Source organism: Homo sapiens, chromosome 1 (genome assembly GCF_000001405.40).
Source record: "Homo sapiens chromosome 1, GRCh38.p14 Primary Assembly".
Lineage (NCBI taxonomy): Eukaryota > Metazoa > Chordata > Mammalia > Primates > Hominidae > Homo > Homo sapiens.
This window is the reverse complement of record NC_000001.11, coordinates 167,141,336-167,162,862: the sequence shown is the minus strand read 5'-3', so window position 1 is coordinate 167,162,862 and position 21,527 is coordinate 167,141,336. Positions and strand designations below refer to the sequence as shown.

General features: G+C 41.7%; 1 pseudogene; it reads left to right on the top strand.

The window, feature by feature from the left end:
- On the top strand, positions 1-483 carry RPS17P6 (ribosomal protein S17 pseudogene 6; annotated as a pseudogene).

Sequence of the window (21,527 nt, the reverse complement as noted above, 5' to 3'; positions counted from 1 at the left end):
CCTCTTTTACCAAGGACCAGCCAACATGGGCCGCGTTCACACCCAAACCGTGAAGAAGGCGGCCCAGGTCGTCACAGAAAAGTACTACACGCGCCTGGGCAATGACTTCCACACGGATAAGCGCGTGTGCGAGGAGATCGCCATTATCCCCAGCGAGAAGCTCCACAACAAGATAGCAGGCTATGTCATGCATCTGGTGAAGTGGATTCAGAGGGGTAAGATACCAGTAAGAGGTATCTCCATCAAGCTGCAGGAGGAAGAGAGAGAAAAAAGAGACAATTATGTTCCCGAGGTCTCAGCCCTGGATCAGGAGATCATTGAAGTACATCCTAACGCTAAGAAAATGCTTTTGGACTTCAGCATTTGGCAGTCTGTCCAACCTGCAGGTCAGTCAGCCTACAGTTCGGATGACTTTCAAAACGCCTAGGGGACCTGTTTGAATCTTTCTGCAATACTGTAATATTTTCAATAAACCTGGGACAAAGGCACAAAACAAACAAACAAACAAAAATAAACCTCTGATAGGTTTGATGGGAGTGGGGCCTGAGGCAAGAGGGCACTCATGCCTTGCTCCCCAAGGTGTAGCCTAGGCAGACAGGCCCTTAGAGAGGCACACATGATGCCAGAACAATAGTCACTGTAGCTGCTTGAGTGAGTTACTCGAGGACTACCTCACAGTGTCCTAGCAGCCTTGAGGTCCAGAGATCTGGTGTGGGGGAGGGAGAAATATTGTGAGAGGGCTAGAAACTTTAGAGGCCTTGGGTTAAGATGAGGAGGGAGCAGAGTAGCGTGCCTCATGTTCAGAGGCCTTGGCAGTGTTGCAGATATCTGTTACTGGAAAGGGGTCTCTCTATCCAGGCCCCAAGAGAGGGTTCTTGGATCTTGCGCAAGAAAGAATTAGAGGGGAATCCATAAAGTGAAAGCAAATTTATTAAGAAAGTAAAGGAATAAAAGAATGGCTAATTCATAGGCAGAGCAGCCCTGAGGGCTGCTGGTTGGCTATTTCTTGATTATATGCTAAACGGGGTGGATTTTTCATGAGGTTTCCGGGAAGGGGTGGGCAATTCCTGGAACTGAGGGTTCCATCCCTTTTTAGACCATATAGGGTAACTTCTGGGCATTGGCATGGCATTTATTAACTGTCAAGGTGCTGGTGGGAGTGTCTTTTAGCATGCTAATGCATTATAACTAGCATATAATGAGCAGTGAGGATGACCAGAGGTCACTTTCATCATCATCTTGGTTTTGGTAGCTTCTGGCCGCCTTCTCTACTGCATCCTTCTATCAGCAACGTCTTTGTGACCTGTACCTTGTGCTAACCTCTTATCTCATCCTGTGACTAAGAATGCCTAACCTCCTAGGAATGCAGCCCGGCAGGTCTAAGCCTTATTTTACCCAGCCCCTATTCAAGATGGAGTCACTCTGGTTCACATGCCTCTGACACATCCACCACAAAGGTAGAGAGGAAAGAGCCACGTAGCTGTGATGGCTTGCAGATGAGAAGACAGCCCTGGGACAAAGGTAACCTCCAGTGCCTCTCTTTGTTATGGGGCACTTAACTGCTCTTGGCCAGGCACTGTGGCTCACGCCTGTAATCCCAGCATTTGGGAGGCTGAGGTGGTCGGATCATTTGAGGTCAGGAGTTCGAGACCAGCCTGGCCAACATGGTGAAACCCCATCTCCATTAAAAATACAAAAAATTAGCCGTGCGTGGTGGCGCATGCCTGTATTCCCAGCTACTCGGTAGGCTGAGGTGGGAGAATTGCTTGAACCTGGGAGGTGGAGGTTGCAGTGATCTGAGATCTTGCCATTGCACTCTCCAGCCCGGGTGACAGAGTGAGACTTCATCTCAAAACAAAAACAACCAAAAAAACCTTAACTACTATTTTTACCTCCTTCATTACCTGAAACTTAGATGTACTCTGCCAGCCTTGTTCCAAGGGGTGGAACTTGGAATTGACTAAGTATTCTCTCCTCAAAAAATGGGGGAGAACTATACTCAAAGTGAGTTGAATGGGCAACACTGAATTTTCTACTATTGGTGGAATTGGGGGCTTGTGAGTTAAGTTAGTTACGAGGAAATAAAAATATATTTCTGCACTCTTTAGGTTGTGATCCTATCAGTTAGGATAGGCTAGATTATGCTGCAGTATCAGATAATCCCCAACTCTCAGGCACATAGCATACATGGGGCAGCTGAGGCTTGGTTCAAAATCATCCTCACTTCAAGACCTATGCTGATGGAGCTGGAACTTGCCTTTTTGCAGAAGGAAAGACAGCTCTGGAGAGTCTCCTGTTAATGATTAAATGCCCCAGTTCAGAAGTGACACACATCACTTCTATTATTTCCACTCAGAGCATATTGACCTGTATCAGCCACAGTGTCCCACTCACGAGGGGGCTGGAAAATATTGTCCTTCTCTATGTTCAGAAGGTGGCAATCCAAAAATATTTGATAAACAGCGCTAATGACTACCCTAGTAGCTGTAAAAGTCTTACCCATTTCACATTTAGGGCTTCAGGACAAAAAACAAAACAAACAACAAAAAAAGCAAGATATATAAAGTGCTGTGGTTTGGATGTGGTTTGTCTCTGACAAAACTCATGCTGAAATCTAATTGCCAATGTAGCAGTGCTGGGAGATGGCACCTTTAAAAGGTGATTAGGTCGTTAAGATAGGTTAATGTCTTTCTTCCAAGACTGGGTTAGTTCTACTGGGAATGGATTAGTTCCCACTAGCGCGGTTTGTTACAAAGCAGGGTTGACTCTCAGGTTTTGCCCTCTTTGAACACACCCACTTGCCTTTCTGCTTCTCTGCCCTGTTGGGACACAGCACGTGGCCCTCACCAAAAGCAGAGCAGATGCCAGTGCCATGCTCTTGGACTTTCCAGCCATCAGAAATGTGAGCCAAATAAACCTCTCTTCTTTTTAAATTACACATTCTCAGGTATTTTGTTATGGCAATACACGACAAAACTTAGGCGTATAGAATAGCTCTGTAGAGCATAGAACCTGAGGTTGAGTTTTGACTCACTTGTAAATGGAGGTATGCTCTTAGCTAGCTTACTTAACCTCTTTGACATTTAGAGTTTCCCCAGGGTTGGTGTAAAAAGTATACGCAATAACTTCCTGGCATATGGAAGTGACACAATAAATAGCTATTATTTTTATCTTTTTTTGTTATCATTTGTTTCTTTTCCTGATAGTTTATAGTCCTAATTAAGTCAGAGTGCTGGTTAGTGGATTTCCAGCTAATTAAAGTCTTTTTTTCTTTTTAAAGTTTATCTTGGCCGTGCGCGGTGGCTCATGCCTCTAATCCCAGCACTTTGGGAGGCCGAGGTGGGCGGATCACTTGAGGTCAGGAGTTCAAGACCAGCCTGGCCAACATGTCTCTACTAAAAATACAAAAATTAGTTGGGTATGGTGGTGCACACCTGTAATCCCAGCTACTCAGGAGGCTGAGGCAGGAGAATTGCTTGAACCTGGGAGGTGGAAGTTGCAGTGAGCCAAGACTGTGCCACTGCACTCCCTCCTGGGTGACAGAGCAAGACTCTGTCTCAAAACAAAACAAAACAAAACAAACAAAAAGTTTATCTTAAAAAATATACAGTCAGACACTTATATTCAGCCAACCACATGTATTTCCAGCGGTGGCCCTCTGGGCTCATTTTGAATGATGGATATCTCATCCCCCATCCTAGAATGTCCCTGTGCCATCAGAAACAGTGGGCGGTGACTAAGGAGTGGTCTACATTTGGTTTTGTGTGCTATGTGGTTGGTAGTAAATGGAAATGATTGCTTCTCCTGCCCTACCCAAACCCACGACTAACAAATGTGAAATTAAGTAAATAACAGAGAGGGCTATGAGGGAAGTATAGCAAGAGCACAGGCCCCTGCAACCTCCATGGTGTTAACCCTACACCAGCATCAGTGTGATTCACAGCTGACCCTGTCAGGATTTCCATGAACAAATGGACCTACCACCTCTTCAGAACAAATCCAGACAGTCCATGTCACATATTTTGGTTTAGGATGTGGAAAGGTGCCCACCAGAACCTGGAAACAGCAGGACTGCCCATTTCCACTTCCTGCTGGTGTACTCTGGGGTTTTAGCATGGACTAAGGGGCAGAGGGGAGTGGAGGGCTTGCTTTCTCCCCAGCTGTCTTTCAACATAGCTCTCTCCTCTTCTCTGACCACTTCCCTCTCCCACTCCGACTCTAGGCCTCCACCAGGAAGGTGGAGGAAACCACGGGCACCTGACTCAGAGAAGGGTTCAGGTACCTCCTTTCTTGTGCCCTTCCCTTCTCAAAGAAGAGGTTTGGATTTGGGCAGCAATGAAAGGAGCACTTCTGGAAGGCACACTTCTCTCAGCCAGAGTCTGAGTGTGTGTGTGTGTGTGTGTGTGTGTGTGTGTGTAGACAAACCCTGAGTTCTTTTTAATCACTGGGGACCAAGTACTATAGTTGTACACAAGATACGAGACACTGTCTAAAAGTAACCATGAAGGTGAATAGGCTTGGCCTGAGGCAAAGTGATGTTTTGTATAGAGAGGGTTACTGCTGTTTCAGGATATCCCTTGCCAAGCCCGATTATGTTGTAAATTGAACTCCGACAGAGAAGGAGGACACTTTGTGAAGTCAGTTGTGTCATCAGATCACCCATCCTCCAAACCACCCCAGGAATAAAATAAAACAGAGGCACAGAAGATTTTTTTCTATAGCCCAATCCCCAGTACACATTCTGCCGAGGGAATAAAAAGTGTCCTTCAAGGAAGGACAGCCTCAGAAATTGCATTCTCTTTTAAAATTAATTTTAAAATTCACTGGCAAGGGTGGGGAGAAAATCCTTTAGCATACCTTACAAAGCACAGGGTAAGGTCAACCATAAATAGCAGAGTCCCTCTCCTAACTTAGTTTGAAGGAAGGGTGAGACTGAGAGGGCAAGGCAGAGAAAGACACATGGAATAAAAGAAAAATTTCACAGAAAAGGGACAGCTGCATGCTGAAATAAATTAGACATACCTGCAGAATGGGAGTTTGGACTTCCCACAGGACACAGATGTCCTTGGTGAATCCTGTCTGGAAATGATGTTGGAAAGGTGAGATTCCAGCCTGCACAGAGGTTCTCTGCTTCCTAAAGCAGCAGAGCAGAACCAGGGACAATTCCTTAGGTTTACAAGGTAAAGCCCGGAGTGAGCAACTGTTAATCAGGAAACCAGCACCAGGGTTGACCAGCAGCCTTGGAAATTGTCTGGGCCAGGGTGAAATTGTGTGTGTGTGTGTGTGTGTGTGTGTGCACGTGCACATGCATGTGATTATTCATAGATACATGAAAGTTAGGGAGGGGTTGAAAAGTCCTTGATACCAGAAATGGAACCTGGGGCAGGCTCGGGTAAAGCTAACTGCCCCCTCTTCCCACTGAGGCCCTGTTCTGAAGGTATGGGAAGAGGGAGTTGTGTATAGAAAGCTAATTTTCTGACCTGCCCACTCAGGGTAATGAAATGTTGCATGTCATTTAGTTGTGTCCGGTTGGATCTGGTGTCTCTCCCTACACTATCTAAAGGCCTTTGTTCACCTGTGACTTTATGGAGACAGCAAAATGATTCATTGAGAGTGACTGTACCCACACTATTGAGACCTGTGACCTGATGGCAATTTGTATAATGTGACTATAAGCATTGAATTAAATAAATAAATGTATTGTTTTATTACAATGATGGTTTGAAATGTCACCATTTTTTTTCTGACTACAAAATTAACCTATATTCTTCAGCATGGCTTAATGGTAATACTCACTTTCATCTCCCTCAGGGTGAGCAGGACAGGCCAGGGGTAGATAAGAGCCCATCGCTAACCTTGTGTACATGGCCTCTCTTTTTTGGTTAGGTGTTTCTGCCTCACTTTCTGATTCACTGCAGCACCCTGAGCTTATTTATGTTCCGGTTCTGCATAGCAATGATCACTCCCTCATCTAGAGACTTAATTGACTGTAGACCGATGCAAGAACTCTTGGGAAACACGAGGCAGCACTACAGGGCCCTGTGTCTACTGTGATGCAAAGGAGAAGGGAGAGATGCTCCTCACATGCCTTTTTGTGCAGAACATGTCAAGTCAGGGGTGACGGCAAGCGAGGCCCTGCATTGGCACTTGGAGATCCAGGGCATCTAGAGGGCCTGGGGTTGTGCCCAAAGCTCTGGCTCCAGCTGGAGAAGCAGCGGGAAGAGGCCCAGCAGCAGAAGGCTGCCCTTGGCATGGACAGGACCACCTTCAGTGCCAGCCCTTCCTTGCTTCACAGGGAAGCATAGATAGAATTGAAGGAAGTTGTGGTTTGAACATATGTGTACCTCCAGAATTCATATGCTGGAACCTAATACCCAATGTGATAGTATTAAGAAGTGGGGGCTTTCCGAGAGTGATTAAGTTCTGAGGACTCTGCCCTCATGGGTTAGTACTCTCATAAAAGCAGTTGAAGGGAAAGCCCTAGCGCCCTTGTCCTTCCATCTTTTCTGCTATGTGAAGACACAGCAGCAAGATTCTAAGATTCCAAAATCTTGGAAACAAAAAGCACCTCCCACCAGACACTGAATCTGCTGGCACCTTGATCTTGGGTTTCCCAGCCTCCAGAACTGTGAGAAATAGACTTCTGTTCTTTATAAATTACTGAGTCTCAGGTATTTCATTATAGCAGCACAGACAGACTAAGACAGGAGTGAAACAGGGAGGACAATGGCAGGAACAGCTGAGAGGACCTCCTCATCAGCACATAAGAACTCCTTGGCACCTCCCCTAAATAACTGGTGGGGTGGGGGTGGCTGTGGGGGTGGGGGGTGAAGCATGGAAAGATGGAAGGCCCGCAATAGCTGGTTCAAGCTGGAGCCAGAGAAATACTGCTTATGTCTGTTCACCTGACCTGCCTTAGCACTCCAGGCCGAGGGGGCTTTGGATACACAGGCTATCACTTCAGGGCTTTTATATAAAATATGTAAGAAAAATATTCAATTCTCCCTGTTTGCAATTATTTTAGGCCCACCATTTACATGCAGAGTCTTCCTTCACTATGTTTTATAGATTGTAGAAACATAAAGTAAAGGTGCGGAGCCAATGGGGATGAATTCAGAACAGACCTGGGTCTGGCCATTACTCACAGATGCTGTGAAAAATTAATCTTACCAGGGTCTTAGGGGTGATCAGACTCAGTGGCGCTGATCCACACTTACGAAGTTCATAAAATACAGATGTAAAAACAAAGATGCTCATTTATTAATGCACATTGAGATTTATATCCACCAAGGTGACCAGGTATGCATGACCCTTGGACTACAATTTCTCTGATGGAAAACAACTGAGGAAGCTCATTTATAATCAGAAGCATTCCAGGTGAGTGTAAAATCAGAACAAGAATTGGTTATGGGATTCACCTGTTACTGGCAGCTGGCTGAGCTAGCCTGAGGCATCTGTCTCCACAGTGGGGACATGTATGCAGGTCAGAATGGAGAACGGACACCATCTCTAACAGGCCGTGCTAAGTTGGGCACACCCCATGCTTGCTTCTGTTGCTCTTTTATTTCCAACTCCCTGCCTGCCTACCACATTACTTCTCGAGGAAGGCAAGCTAATGTTCCAAAAGACGGTGCTATCCCAGTCACTAAAATAAAATGTAGCAACTCATCAATTCACCAAATAACCAATTTACCAAATTACTGATTCACCAAAACCTTGATTCTATTAACTGCCTATGGAGCTTATAACAGATTGTTTGTATGAAATTGCTTTAATAGTCTTTGAAGATTTATTTTCCATTTTTGTTTGGTGTGGCTCACAGGAGCTGCTTCACCTCAGCTCTCTCCCTAAGAATTTATCAGGGCTTATTTGAATGTTCATTTCATGTTTTTCACCTTTTAGGGCCTTGCACGGCTTGTATAGCATTTTATATGTGAATGGGTGAGCTTGCCCTTCAACATAGATTATGACCTTCTCTAGTTTTGAGGCCTTATGCCTAACTTGGATTTTAGCCACATTCCTAAATTTGTATATAGACCCCATTTCATGGAAAGAATTTTTGCTAGTTTCCACATATTTTATGGATACATAAAAATTGACATGCAGACAAAAACTTTGTTCAAAAGACTGACAAAGTCAGCACAAATAGGGAAAGGCAAATTGATATAAAACTGTTTAAAGGGCAAACTCTTCTTTCATGTATATGATATCAAATGAAAGAGTTTGAAATTTGAAACATGCACAAAGTATTTATTTGATTGAGCTTATTCACAAAGCCATGATTAAGAGTAATAGGGAAGGCATGTAATGCATTGGCAAAGAGAAATCTACCTTATTTTTCATAAATTCCTTGACATTTGAGATGTGCAAAATGCACAACATTTGAAATACCCAGGATCTTCTCATTACTTAATGATATAGACCAAAAGTGCCAAACACACTAGGATTTGGCCAGCCACAGTGACTCAATGGTAGCAAATTGGCTTATGGTGAAATTGCTGCAGTACTAGACATGGCTTAAAGTACTAAATTTGGCAGTTTGGGGTGAATTAATCTTTCAGCAAGTTAATATTTGACACATTGGCTTTTGGTGAATTGGTCATTTAGTGACTTGACTTTTGGATAATTGATCTTTGACAAATTGGCTTTCATCAAATTTAATTTTAGTTCTTCCTTGGATTTATTATCCTCAGTTAAGTTAACGTTAAATCTTCTCTAGCCTTGGGCATTCCTAGTTCTTTAAGATGATTTAGCAAACTCTGAATGGATCCTACTACACTGATCTTCCTGAGGGCAAGTATTTTTAACTTCTTGAGAAACACGTCACTAACACTTGCCTATATTGTTTATCAGTATTTCGCCCTCCATTTCCTTGATGCTACTGAGCAATTCATGCCATACAGAGTTAAGGTATGCGATCTTACCGCTAATCAGTTCCTGGGGTCGCCTCAGACATTGATTTTCCATGGGGGCCATACTTCTGGGGGGTGCGTAGTTTGGACATTTATGGAAGCATTTTTGTCACAATGACAAAATTGTGGGTCAACTAGCATTTTAGGAAGTGGGGGCCAAGGATGCTGGACTTCCTGAAACGCAACTGTTCTGTGTCCCATATGCCTTTGGAAAATCACAGTAGACATTTGTGTTGATGAAAATCTTACAGACTACCTGTGCCTGGAATGTAACTCTGTTTTACATATAAACGTCATGTGTTTTTTGCATGGTTGAATATATACTGAAATTTTTAGGATCATAACTATTGTGGGAATCAAGGCAAGATGATATTTTGTTTTGTTTAGAACTTTAAGCTGGGCTCAGTCGCTCACGTCCATAATCCCAGAGTTTTGGGAAGCCAAGGTAGGAGGATTGCTTGAGCCCGGGAGTTTGAGGCCAGCCTGGGCAACATGGAGAGACCCCATCTCTACAAAAAATTAAAAAAATTAGCCCGGTGTGGTGGCATGCACCTGTGGTACCAAATGCACAAGAGGCAGAGGCAGAAGAATCACTTGAGCCCAAGAGGTTGAGGCTGCAGTGAGCCATGTTTGTGCCACTGCACTCCAGCTTGGGTAACAGAGTGAGACCCTGTCTCAAAAAAAAAAAAAAAAAGAACTTTACCAAGAATTTTGGAAATGCATGTTTCTGACAGCAACCCTTCTCATAATATTGAATCGCCAATTTAACTGCAGCTATATCCCTTGTGTTCACAATGATTTTAAGTAAAGGTGCAGGCACCTGGCCCTTTGCTATGTCTTCTAGGGCAGCTGTGTACTAGAATTCACATATTTAAATATATTTTATTATCCACTACTCTCCTTTTATTTTTCTTTACATTGTAGGTAGGACATTATATTTATTTTAAAAATTATATGTGTAGGTAGGTTATATATCTAAGAACTTCATTTCTAGATAGCAAAATGAATATTATGAAATATTTCTTACAAAAGTTAAGTATTATGTGTGAAAGGGTTGAGAAGCACGGTCTTACACTAGCTTTCTCTCTGCACTGCTCCATTTTCAGATCCTGGTACTCTGCTTCTTTCTGTTTCTCTAATTGCTCTGAGGGGCGGAAGGAGCTTTGTAGTCAGCCTAGGCTTTGGGGCAGGAAAGAACAACCTCCGAGATGAATTGACCTGGCAGAGTGCTCAGAGGCCTCAAGGTCATTGACTTCCTGTGTTGTAACATAAAACATCTTCCCCTCCGGCACCCACCCACTGACACCTCCCCATCACAGCCTGGCAGCCAGAAGGACGTTTCCCTGTGAAAACATTTCACTCCCACTGGTGAAGCAGCAAAGGGATGGTGTGCTTTAAGAGAACACCAAAACCCTGGCCAAGCCCAGTGTGTCTCTACTTTGGGGCTTTTGGCTAAAAAGTACAATATCTCTCAAAAATGCCTGTATAAGCATGTCAACCTGGGAGGAGTAACCTGCTAAAGCTTCAGCATTTATGACCTGAGATGATTAGGCTAGCCAGGCTGTGGGCAAGAGAGGGCAAGCCTCTGCAGAAACTGTCTCTGCGGTGGGAAGGGAGAAGGGCTGGCCTGGGGACTAGTCAAGAAATCTTGCTGGTGTGGGCCCTGCAGAGGTCACCTGAGAGGGTAGCATGGCGGGGTGTGGGAGGGAGACACAGACTTCACCAAGAGGTTGCCAAAGGCTACTTCTGAGACATGCCACTGCCAGGGAGGGAGACAGACTGTTTCCCACAGGAATATGCCTGGGAAGCTGATGTTACCACCACATTAAGGTGGGGTTTGCATAAGGATAGCAGGTGGGGAAAAAGCAAATAGTTATCTCTGTTGCTGGAGTCAGAGGGGATTTTTATTCTTTTCCTTTTCTTTTCTACATTTCACAGACAACCGGGAGTAAATAATACATACACTGGCTGGAGTCTGGCTCTACGGTCACACTGCTTGGGTGTGAATCCCAGAGCTACCACTTAGGAACTGTGATCTTGGACAAAATACTAAACCTGTATAAGTTGTTTCCTCCACTGCAAAATGGAGATAATAATAGAACTGATGTCATAGAGGAGATTGGAGCACAAATGAGCCAACACATATAGAGCACTGTGGTCTTCAATAGCTAAAATGACTACGGTGACCTTAACTTTGAGGGAGTGAGTTTCTCTGGGAATGTTCTGGCTGAGCCATGCCTCGAGTGGAACCTTCAAAGTGGTCACTGTGTGTATCATCTTGGGCCTGACTCTCCTACTCTAGGGAGCCACAGGCATTTGGTGCTACAGACACCTGGTCAAGTACTTTCCTGCCCTGAATAAACAAATAAATGGTACCAGCCCAGCACTAGAAGCCCAGGAAGTGGGTGGCAGAAGCAAAGCAGGATAGAATGGGCAGCCAGTCTGGAGAGGGGTCACTGAGGAGAGAAATGGCCACTTTGGTACCAGAGCAGGCCTTGGGCAAACTTGTGGCTCAAAGAAGTTGGTCATCAGTGTCCTCTCAATATCCCTTTCAGCCCTACCTTCCACCTTGTTTCTTTTAAAATGATGATTTTATGGGCCAGAGTAACAGAATATTTTTATATGGGATTTTTCTCTTTACCTTCCAATAACTATCAACACAAATCCTAGCTATAAGTTGGTGCATTTTTTTTTATTTTACTTTATTTATTTATTTATTTTTTTATTTTTTTAGGCAGAGTTTTGCTCTTTCACCCAGGCTGGAGTGAAGTGGTGTGATATCGGCTCACTGCAACCTCCGCCCTCTGGGTTCAAGCAATTCTCCTGCCTCAGCCTCTCAAGTAGCTGGGATTACAGGCACCCACCACCACCCCTGGCTAATTTTTGTATTTTTAGTAGAGACAGGGTTTCCCCATGTTGGCCAGGCTGGTCTCGAACTCCTGACTTCAGGTGATCCGCCCACGTCGGCCTCCCAAAGTGCCAGAATTACAGACGTGAGTCACCGTGCCCGTCCAGCTGCATTTATTTTTAAATACCTTTCCCCTCAACTTTTTCACCTGAAATTTTCAGACTATTTTACTTTGGGGATTATACATTTTTTTGTCCTCTGTTAAATTTAACTAATATTTACTGAGCATGGGTTATGCACTGGATGACAGTAAAGTTCTAGAACTGAACCAGTATGGGCTCTTAGGGTTTACTTCAGGCACACCAAATGTGGAATTCAGATGGCAAGAAGGGAAACTTGCTTCCTATTGGGCAAGTCAGTGGAGGCTGTGCTACCAAGTCCTGAGACTAGGGAACATGCGTGAATTCTAGGCTTACAGGGATGTGTGAGCGTGGGAGTGATGGGATGTGGGGTGAGATAGGCAGCTGAGATTCACATGGAAAATGCTGAAATAACTCCTACCTTCATCATTCAGAACTCTCCTGCCTTTTGAATTCCTTCTGTTTCATCTTCAGACTTCTCACAGAACTTTCTCTCTACCACTTTCTCTTAACTGAAAGCTGATCATAGTTAAGGACCCATTTCCTTTATTGCTCTCCTAAGTAGAAGCTTCTTATCTCAGACTCCACACACTGCAAGACTCAGAAATTTAATTTTGTAGTTTACTGGGTGCAGATGTCTCCAGGGGCTTGTTTCCTACTAACCAAACTTGCAGGAGATTGGTGTACAAATCTGTATCGCAATTTTTCCTCTGCAATGACCAGTGACTTCTAGGGCATCCTGCCTGGCACATGGGGTGTTAGTAATTGTACTCATCAGTAATGGTGGCTTGCAGAATATTGAAGTTATTAAAGTTTCTGTTTCTCTCATGTAAATGAAATTTAGATGTGGACAATTAAAAGCTGATATGCTGGCTCTGTGGAATCATCAATGCTCCTGCCTCCTTCAATAAGCCATCCTTATTGTGTGGCTTCCATTCACAAAGTCACTTCAAGTTCACATGTTAGACATTGCCTCTCCAGCCATTGAATCCATCATTCTGGCAGGAAGAAAAAGGAAGGAAGAGGCCAAAAAGGACGCCCAGCTGATTCAACACTCCCTTTTCAAGGGCTTTTCCCTGAAAAGCCCTATGTATTAGAAGCTAGAATTTAGTCGTAGAGTTACCCAATCGGTGTAAAGAGAAGCTGAGAAATTCAATTCTTCAGCCAGACATATCATCACTCCCTCTTCTCTCAAAATCAGAATTATGCTACTAAAGAAGCAGGAGAGAGAAAGAACATTGGGTAGACAGCTACCAGAATGTTTCAGCTGTTGCTTTCTGGGTCAACTTCTTAGGAACTGAATAGCAATGAATTGAGAACTTCCCACACCCACATAAGATTATTACAAAGAATATCCCACTCATATGCCACAATTCCACAGCAACTTGCTTAGGTAGAGTGAATAAAGGTAAATTGCTAGGAGTTTTGGGGGTAGCTTAATCAACCCATTGCAATCAAGAGGAACATCATGTAGTAATTTGTTTTATCTTAAAAATGTATACAGATTTTACATTTTACTCCTTGGTATAGCTGTGTTTACATTCATATTTTAAACTCAACTATATTCTGGAAATACTGATATTCCAGAAAGTTGAAAAGTCTGACTTTCCGAATTTTTTGAGTACTTCAGGGTATGCATTATCCAATTTGAGCTTTCTTTGGTTACCTTCTAGTATTGAGTAATGGTCACTTTGATTGAAGTTGGACACTTCCCAAGATTACTTGCAGCAGCACAATTTTGGTGGTGGTAAATGCTTTCATAGTGTTTTATGTATTTATTAAATTATATTTTATAGTATAATTTACATTTATTTAGAAAATAGATGTCCTATTTGTAGGCTATCTTGTTAGTTTTCATACCCTACATTCTCTATTCCCCCATAGTGATTGGCAAACTTTTTCCATGAAGAGCCAAATAGTGAACATTTTTGGCTTTGCAGGCTATACAGTCTGTGTCAAAACTATTCACTTCTGGCATTGTAGTGTGACAGCAGCTATCAACAATGAATAAATGAGCTGGGTGTGGGTAGATTTTAATATAATTTTATGTATAGTAACAGGCAATGGGGAAAGAATTCTGGGAAGGTGGCAGATTAAGAAGCACCAGGAATCTGTCTCCCCACCTAAAGACAGCTGTATGCCAGTATCTTCCTATTTTGGAACTCTGGAGTCTATTAAAGGCTTGCAACTTCCAGGGGAAGAATAGGATGGTAAATTGCAGTGACTTTTGGCCAATTTCAGCTTTTAAGCACAGTAGAAACTACCATCCCCCATCCCTAGCCCCCTGGTAGGCAGCTGGAGCAGCTGGCTTGCAGCCTGTGGGAGCCAGAGTGAGAAAAAAAAAAAAAAATTCCTTGTCTTCTAACATCAGGGATCTGTACTCCAATCACGGATTACTGATTCTGATCACAGCCATTGTTGTTGCACCTCTCCTCATTGTTGCATGCCCCTCCACCTCTGGCTAGAGTGATTTTCAGGAGACTTAAAGGGCCAGTGTCCTTTTCCACATTCATTTTTTTTCATTTTGTCTTTTTGAGAGCTAAACTAGGACATTTAAAAGTAACTGCATGTATGGTATAATTAGAAAGTGACTGCACATATTCAGGGAAAGGTGTAAGCTCAGCAAAGACCTGAGAAAACCTCAAGTTTATACCTCAGGCTGATCCTTGGCACAGAGAGAGCCTAAAAAAATTTTTTAACCCCCAAAACAATGAATAAGTTAACAAAACCCAGAAAACCCTGAAGAAGGGGGAGAATCTGATTTTCAGGGTTACCACATTATTAGCTTCCAATGTTTTCAACAGAAAATCATAGGCATGCAATGAAAAAAAAAAAACTATGGTGCATTTAAAGGAAACAAAATAAACAGAAACTTGATGAAAAAAACCTAATGGTAGACCTACTAGGCAAAAAATTTTAAAACAACCATTTTATTTTATTTTGAGACACAGTTTCACTCTTGTTGCCCAGGCTGGAGTGCAATGGCACTATGTCAGCTCACTAGCAACCTCCGCCTCCTGGGTTCAAGTGATTCTTCTGCCACAGCCTCCCAAGTAGCTAGGATTAAAGGCACACACCACCACGATCAGCTAAGTTTTGTATTTTTAGTAGAGGAGGGGTTTCACCATGTTGGCCAGGCTGGTCTCGAACTCCTGAGCTCAGGTGATCTGCCCCCCTTGGCCTCCAAAAGTGCTAGGATTTCAGATGTGAGGCATCGTGCCTGGCCCTAAAACAACTGTTTTAAAGACACTCAAATTACTAATGGAAGATATGGGAAAAGTCAAAGAAATAGTGTATGAACAAAATGGAAATATCAATAAAGATATTGAAAACTATAAAAGAAACAAGATATTCAGGAGATGGAAAGCGTAATAACTGAAATAAAAAATTCACTAGAGGGATTTAGGGGCAGATTTGAGCAGTTAGAAGAAAGAATCAACAAACATGAAGACAGGACAATGACAATTATAAAATCTGAGGAAGAGAAAGAAAAACATCTGAAGTAAAGTGAAGAGAGCCTAAGGGACCTGTGAGACACAAATGAGTAAACAAACATATGAAGTCCCAGAAGGAGAAGAGAGAGAGAAAGGGGAGGAGAGAATATTTGAATAAATAATGGCTGAAAACTTCTCAAACTGGATGAAAGACATGAAAATAAACATCCAAGAAGCTTAACAAACGCTAAGTAAGATTAACTCAAAGAAATCCACACCAAGGCACATTATATTCAAATCTTGGAAAGATAAAGACCGAGATAATCTTGAAAGCTTCAAGGGAGAAATGACTCATCATACACAAGGGATCCTCAATAAAGATTATCAGTGTATTTCTCATCAGAAACTTTGGAGGCTAGAAGGCAGTGGGCTAATATGTTCAAAGTGCTAAAAGAAAACATTGTCAACCAAAAATCCTACATCCAGCAAAACTATCCCTAAAAAGTGAGGGAGAAATTAAGGCATTCCCAGATAAAAGCAGAGGGAGTTTCAGACCATTAGACTTGCTCTGCAAGAAATGCCAAAGGGAATCCTTCAGGTTAAAGTGGAGACACACTAGACAGTGACTTGAAACCATCTGAAGAAATAAAGATCTTGATAAAGGTCAATACCTAGGGAATTATAAAAGTTGATATTATTATAGCAATAGTTTGTAACTCTACTGTTTGTTTTCTACATGATTTGAGAGATTAATGTACTTTTAAAAATTATTAGTCGAAAAACTAGTATTATTATACTTTGGTTTGTAACTTCACATTTTGTTTTCTATATAATTTAAGAGACTATAATAGATTTATTAGTTTATGGTTTGGGGCACAAAATGTATGAAGATGTAATTTTTTGACATCATCAACCAAAAGGGGTGGGGATGGAGCTGTAAAGGAACAGAGTTTTTACATCTTACTGAAGTTAAGCTGGTATAAATTCAAATTAGAGTGTTATAATTTTAGGATGTTAAGTGTAATCACCATCATAACTATAAAGAAAAGAGCTATCAATACATGCAAAAGGAAATTTAAAAAGGAATTTGAACACTTCACTACATAAAATCAACCAAATACAAAAAGAAGATAGCAATGTTGGAAATGAGAAACAAAAAGTTATAAGGCATATAGAAAACAAATAGTAGAAAGACAGAAGTAAGCCCCTCCTTACCAACAGTTAATTTAAGTCTAAATGATTAAACTCTCCAATCAAAAGACAAAGATTGGCAGAATGGAATAAAAAAACCCACAGGATCCAAATATAGTTACAGTCATGTGTTGCTTAATGTCAGATACATTCTGAGACATGTGTCATTAAGTGATTTCATCATTGTGTGAACGTCATACAGTGGACTTACACAAACCTACACAGAATAGTCTACTACATACCTGGGGTACCTAATATATAGCCTATTGCTCCTAGGTTACAATCCTGTACGTCATGTTACTGTACTGAATACTGTAGGTGATTATAACACAATTGTAAATATTTGTGTACCTAAACATATCTAGAGAAGGTACAGTAAAAATACGGTGTTATAATCTTATGAGACAACCATCCTATATGTGGTCCATCATTGACTAAAAGGTCATTATGCTGCATATGACTATATAGTCTGTCTACAAGTGACTTACTTTAGATCCAAAGACACAAATACATTGAAAGTGAAAAAATGAAAAAAGATATTCCATGCAAATAGTGACCAACAGAGAGCAAAGGTGACTATATCAGACAAAAAAGACTTTAAATCAAAAAAGTTTACAAGAGGCAAAAAGGGCATTGTATATTAATAAGAGGTTTAATATAGCAAGAAGATACACCCATTATAAACATTTACATACCTACCTAATAACGGACCACTAAACTATGTGAAGCAAAAACTGACAGAATTAAAGAGAGAAATAGACAGTTCTAACAGAACAGTTGGAGACTGCAGTACACCATTCTCAGCAATGGATAGAACAGAGAGAAGACAACAAAGGCAATAAGTACCTTAAACAACACAATAAATCAACTAGATCAAACAGACATATCTAGAGCACTCTACCCAACAACAGCAGCATACACATCATTCTCAGTTGCACATGGGGCATTTTCCAGGATAAACCGTAGGTTAGGTCATAAATTAGGTCAAAATGTGGTATATACATGAAGCAGAGTATTATTTAGCCTTAAAAAGGAAGGGAATTCTGACATATGCTACAACACATGGATGAACTTTGAGGACGTTTTGCTCAGTGAAATAAGCCAGTCACAAGAAAACAAATATTATATAATTCCACTTATATGAGGCACATAGAGTAGTAAAAATCAAAGAGACAGAAAGCAGAATGGTGGTTTCCAGGGGCAGGAAAGAAGGGATAAGAAAGAGTCACTGTTTAAGGGGTATAGAGCTTGACTTTTACAAGATGAAAAAGTTCCAGGGATGGGTAGTGGTGATGATTGTACAACTTTATGAATATATTTAACATCACTTAACTGTACACTTAAAATGGTCACGATTATAGATTCTATGCTGTGTTTTCTCTTTCTTTCTTTCTTTCTTTTTCTTTTTCTTTTTTTTTTTTTTTTTTTTTTGAGACAGAGTTTCATTCTATTGCCTAGGCTGGAGTGCAGTTGCGTGATCTTGGCTCATTACTCCAGCCTCCACCTCCTGGGCTCAAGCGATTCTTCCACCTCAGTCTCCCAAATAGCTGGGAGTTCAGGAGCGTGCCACCACACCTGGCTAAATTTGTTTACTTTTTTGTAGAGATGAGGTCTCACTATATCTCCCAGGCTGGTCTTGAACTCCTCGGCTCAAGTGATCCTCTCACCTAAGCCTCCCAAAGTGCTGGGATTATAGACATTAGACAATGCTCCCAGACTATGTCATGTATATTTTACCACAACAAAAAAATTGAAGGAGGAAAAAAGGCTATTTGACTATTTTGATAATTGCACTATGGCCATAAAACATGTTAGAATAAGAGTGGGGGACATAAAGGAAGTCTTTATTACTTTTTTTGCAACTTTTCTGTAGGTCTAAAAGTAGACCAAAATAAAAAATGGCCATTTGAAAGTGCTGCTGATAATAAAAATATTATTTATATATAATGAAATATGGCAACATGGTGAAAACCTGTCTCTACAAAAAATACAAAAATCAGCTAGGCATGGTGGCGTGTGCCTATAGACCCAGCTACCAGGTGAGGGGAAGAGGGGGCTGAGGCAGGAGAATCGCTTGAGCCTGGAAGGTTGAAGCTGCAGTAAGCCGCGACTGTGCCACTGCACTTCAGCCCAGATGACAGAGTGAGACCCTTTCTCAAAAACAAGAACAAAACAAAAAAAGAAATGAACAACATTATAAACCCATTAGACCTAATGGACACTACACCCTACAAAAGCACAATGCACATTCTTCTCAAGGGCACATCGGACATCTCCTAGATGGGCAATGTAGTGAGACCTCATCTCTATAAAAAATTAAAAAATTAGCCAGGTGTGGTGGTGTGTGCCTGTAGCTTTAGCTACTTGGGAGGCTGAGGTGGGAGGATCACTTAAGCCTAAGAGTTTGAGGCTGCAGTGAGCCATGATCGTGCCAATGCAGTCCAGCCTGAGTGACAGAGACAGACCTTCTCTCTAAAAAAAACAACCACATAAAAGTAAAAGAAACGGAAAAAAAGTACGAAATAAATACAAAGCAAGAAGGGAAGAAATAAAGATTAGAGTAGATATAAATGAAATGGAATGGAAAAGCAATCGAGAATATCAGTAAAAAGTTGGTTCTTGGAAATGTTCAACAAAGGTGACAAATCTTTAATTGAACTTACCAAGAAAAAAAAAGAGAGAAGACAGAAATTACTAAAATCAGGAATGAAAAAAAAAAGAGGCCGGGCGTGGTAGCTGTAATCCCAGCACTTTGGGAGGCCTAGGCGGGCGGATCACTTGAGGTCAGGAGTTAGAGACTGGCCTGGCCAATACGGTGAAGCCCGTCTCTACTAAAAATACAAAAAATTAGCTGGGCATGGTGGCGTACACCTGTAATCCCAGCTACTCGGGAGGCTGAGGCAGGAGAATCTCTTGAACCCGGGAGACAGAAGTTGCAGTGAGCTGAGATTGTGCCATTGCACTCTAGTCTAGGTGAAAGAGTGAGACTCTGTCTCAAAAAAAAAAAAAAAAAAAAAAAAAAGAAAGAAAACAAAAACATCATTACCAACCTTGCAAAAATTAAAAGGATCATAAAAGTATATTACAAATAACTGCATGCCAACAAATTTGATATCATGGCCGGGTGCGGTGGCTCAGGGCTGTAATCCCAGCACTTTGGGAGGCTGAGGCGGGCGGATCACAAGGTCAGGAGATTGAGAGAATCCTGACTAACAAGGTGAAACCCGTCTCTACTAAAAATACAAAAATTAGCCGGGCGTGGTGGCGGGCACCTGTAGTCCCAGCTACTCGGGAGGCTGAGGCAGGGGAATGGCGTGAAGCCAGGAGGCGGAGCTTGCAGTGAGCCAAGATTGCACCACTGCACTCCAGCCTGGTCAACAGAGAGAGACTCCGTCTCCAAAAAAAAAGGAGTTCGATGGTGAAACCCCGTCTCTACTAAAACTACAAAAATTAGCCGGGTATGGTGGCATGCGCCTGTAATCCCAGCTACTCAGGAGCCTGAGGCAGGAGAATCGTTAGAACCCGGGAGGCAGAGGTTGCAGTGAGCCAAGATGGCGCCACTGCACTCCAGCCTGGGTGACAGAGCAAGACTCCATCTCAAAAAAAAAAAATTGATATCATATATGAAACGGACAAATTCCTAGAAAGACACAAACTACTGACTCAAGAAGAAATAGAAATCCTGAATAAATCTATAAAAACTAAAGATGGAAGTAGTAATTTAAAAACTCCCCCCCACACAAAAATCCCAGGCCACATGGTTTCACTGTTGAACCAAAGTTTAGAGAAGAATTAATACCAATCCCTCACAAACTCTTCCTAAAAACAGAAGAGGAAGGAACACTTCCCAATTTATTCTATGAGGTCAATATTACCCTAATACTAAAACCAGACAAAGATATCACAAGAAAACTCCATTAAAAAAACGCTTAGCACACTAGGAATAAAATTTAATTTTAATTTTTATCCAAATAATACATCTACATTGTTTTACATGTATGTCAATTTGGATGGCCAGGGTGGCTGACATTATCAGATAAAAAAGGATTAAAGACATTGGGGTTTTAATTTTCAATCTCTTTGAGAGCAGCATACAATGGCCTGGGACAACAAGGTTTGCCTCACTTGGCCGAGCTGATGGAGGATCTAAAAATGGCTGACTTGCACATGCTGTTAGCATTAGCACAGTGCCTGGCACACAGCAAGCCTTTAGTAACCTTAGCCGTTACTCACATTATTATTGGCCAAGGTGAATGTATTTGATAATGCCAAGCACAAGTGGGAGTATGGAGAACTAGGTATTATTGCTGATGCTGAATTTATACATACCTTCTAGAAGGCAATTTGGCAACACGTTACAAAGGAGTTTTTGTTTTTTAAGTATGTATGCATTGAGGTAGTGACTTCATAGAAATTATTCTGAAGAAATAACTGGACAGATACACAACCATGTGATTCATGCCAGTGTTGTTTATAACCAAATGATTCATCTCTGTGTTGTTTTTGTTTGTTTGTTTGTTTGTTTTTTAGGGATGGGGTCTCACTATGTTGCCAGGAGGCTGGTATCAAACTCCTGGGCTCAAATGAGCCTCCCCCTCCTGGGCCTCCAAGAAGCTGAGACTACAGGCATGTGCCACCATGCTCAGCTTTAGTGTTGTTTACAACATGAAAAACTAGAAAACATAATTTGTTCAGTAATAAAGATTGGTAAAGTACGGTAGTCCCAGCCAAAAGATAGAGCATTATAAAGTTATTAAAACTCATGTTACAGAAAAATGTCTTCCATGGGAAAATGCTAAGTGAAAATTAACTTTAAAAATCATCTGTATCATATTATTTCAAATATATAAAGAGTGAAATGTTATATACTTAGAAAAATATCAATGGTGATTCTCTCCCAATGGTATGATTACAGATGGTTTTAAATCTAATTTCTTTTTTATGTTCTTCTGTATGTTCTGTGTTTACTTTTTTCTTCTTTTTGTTAATGGAGGGGGGAAAG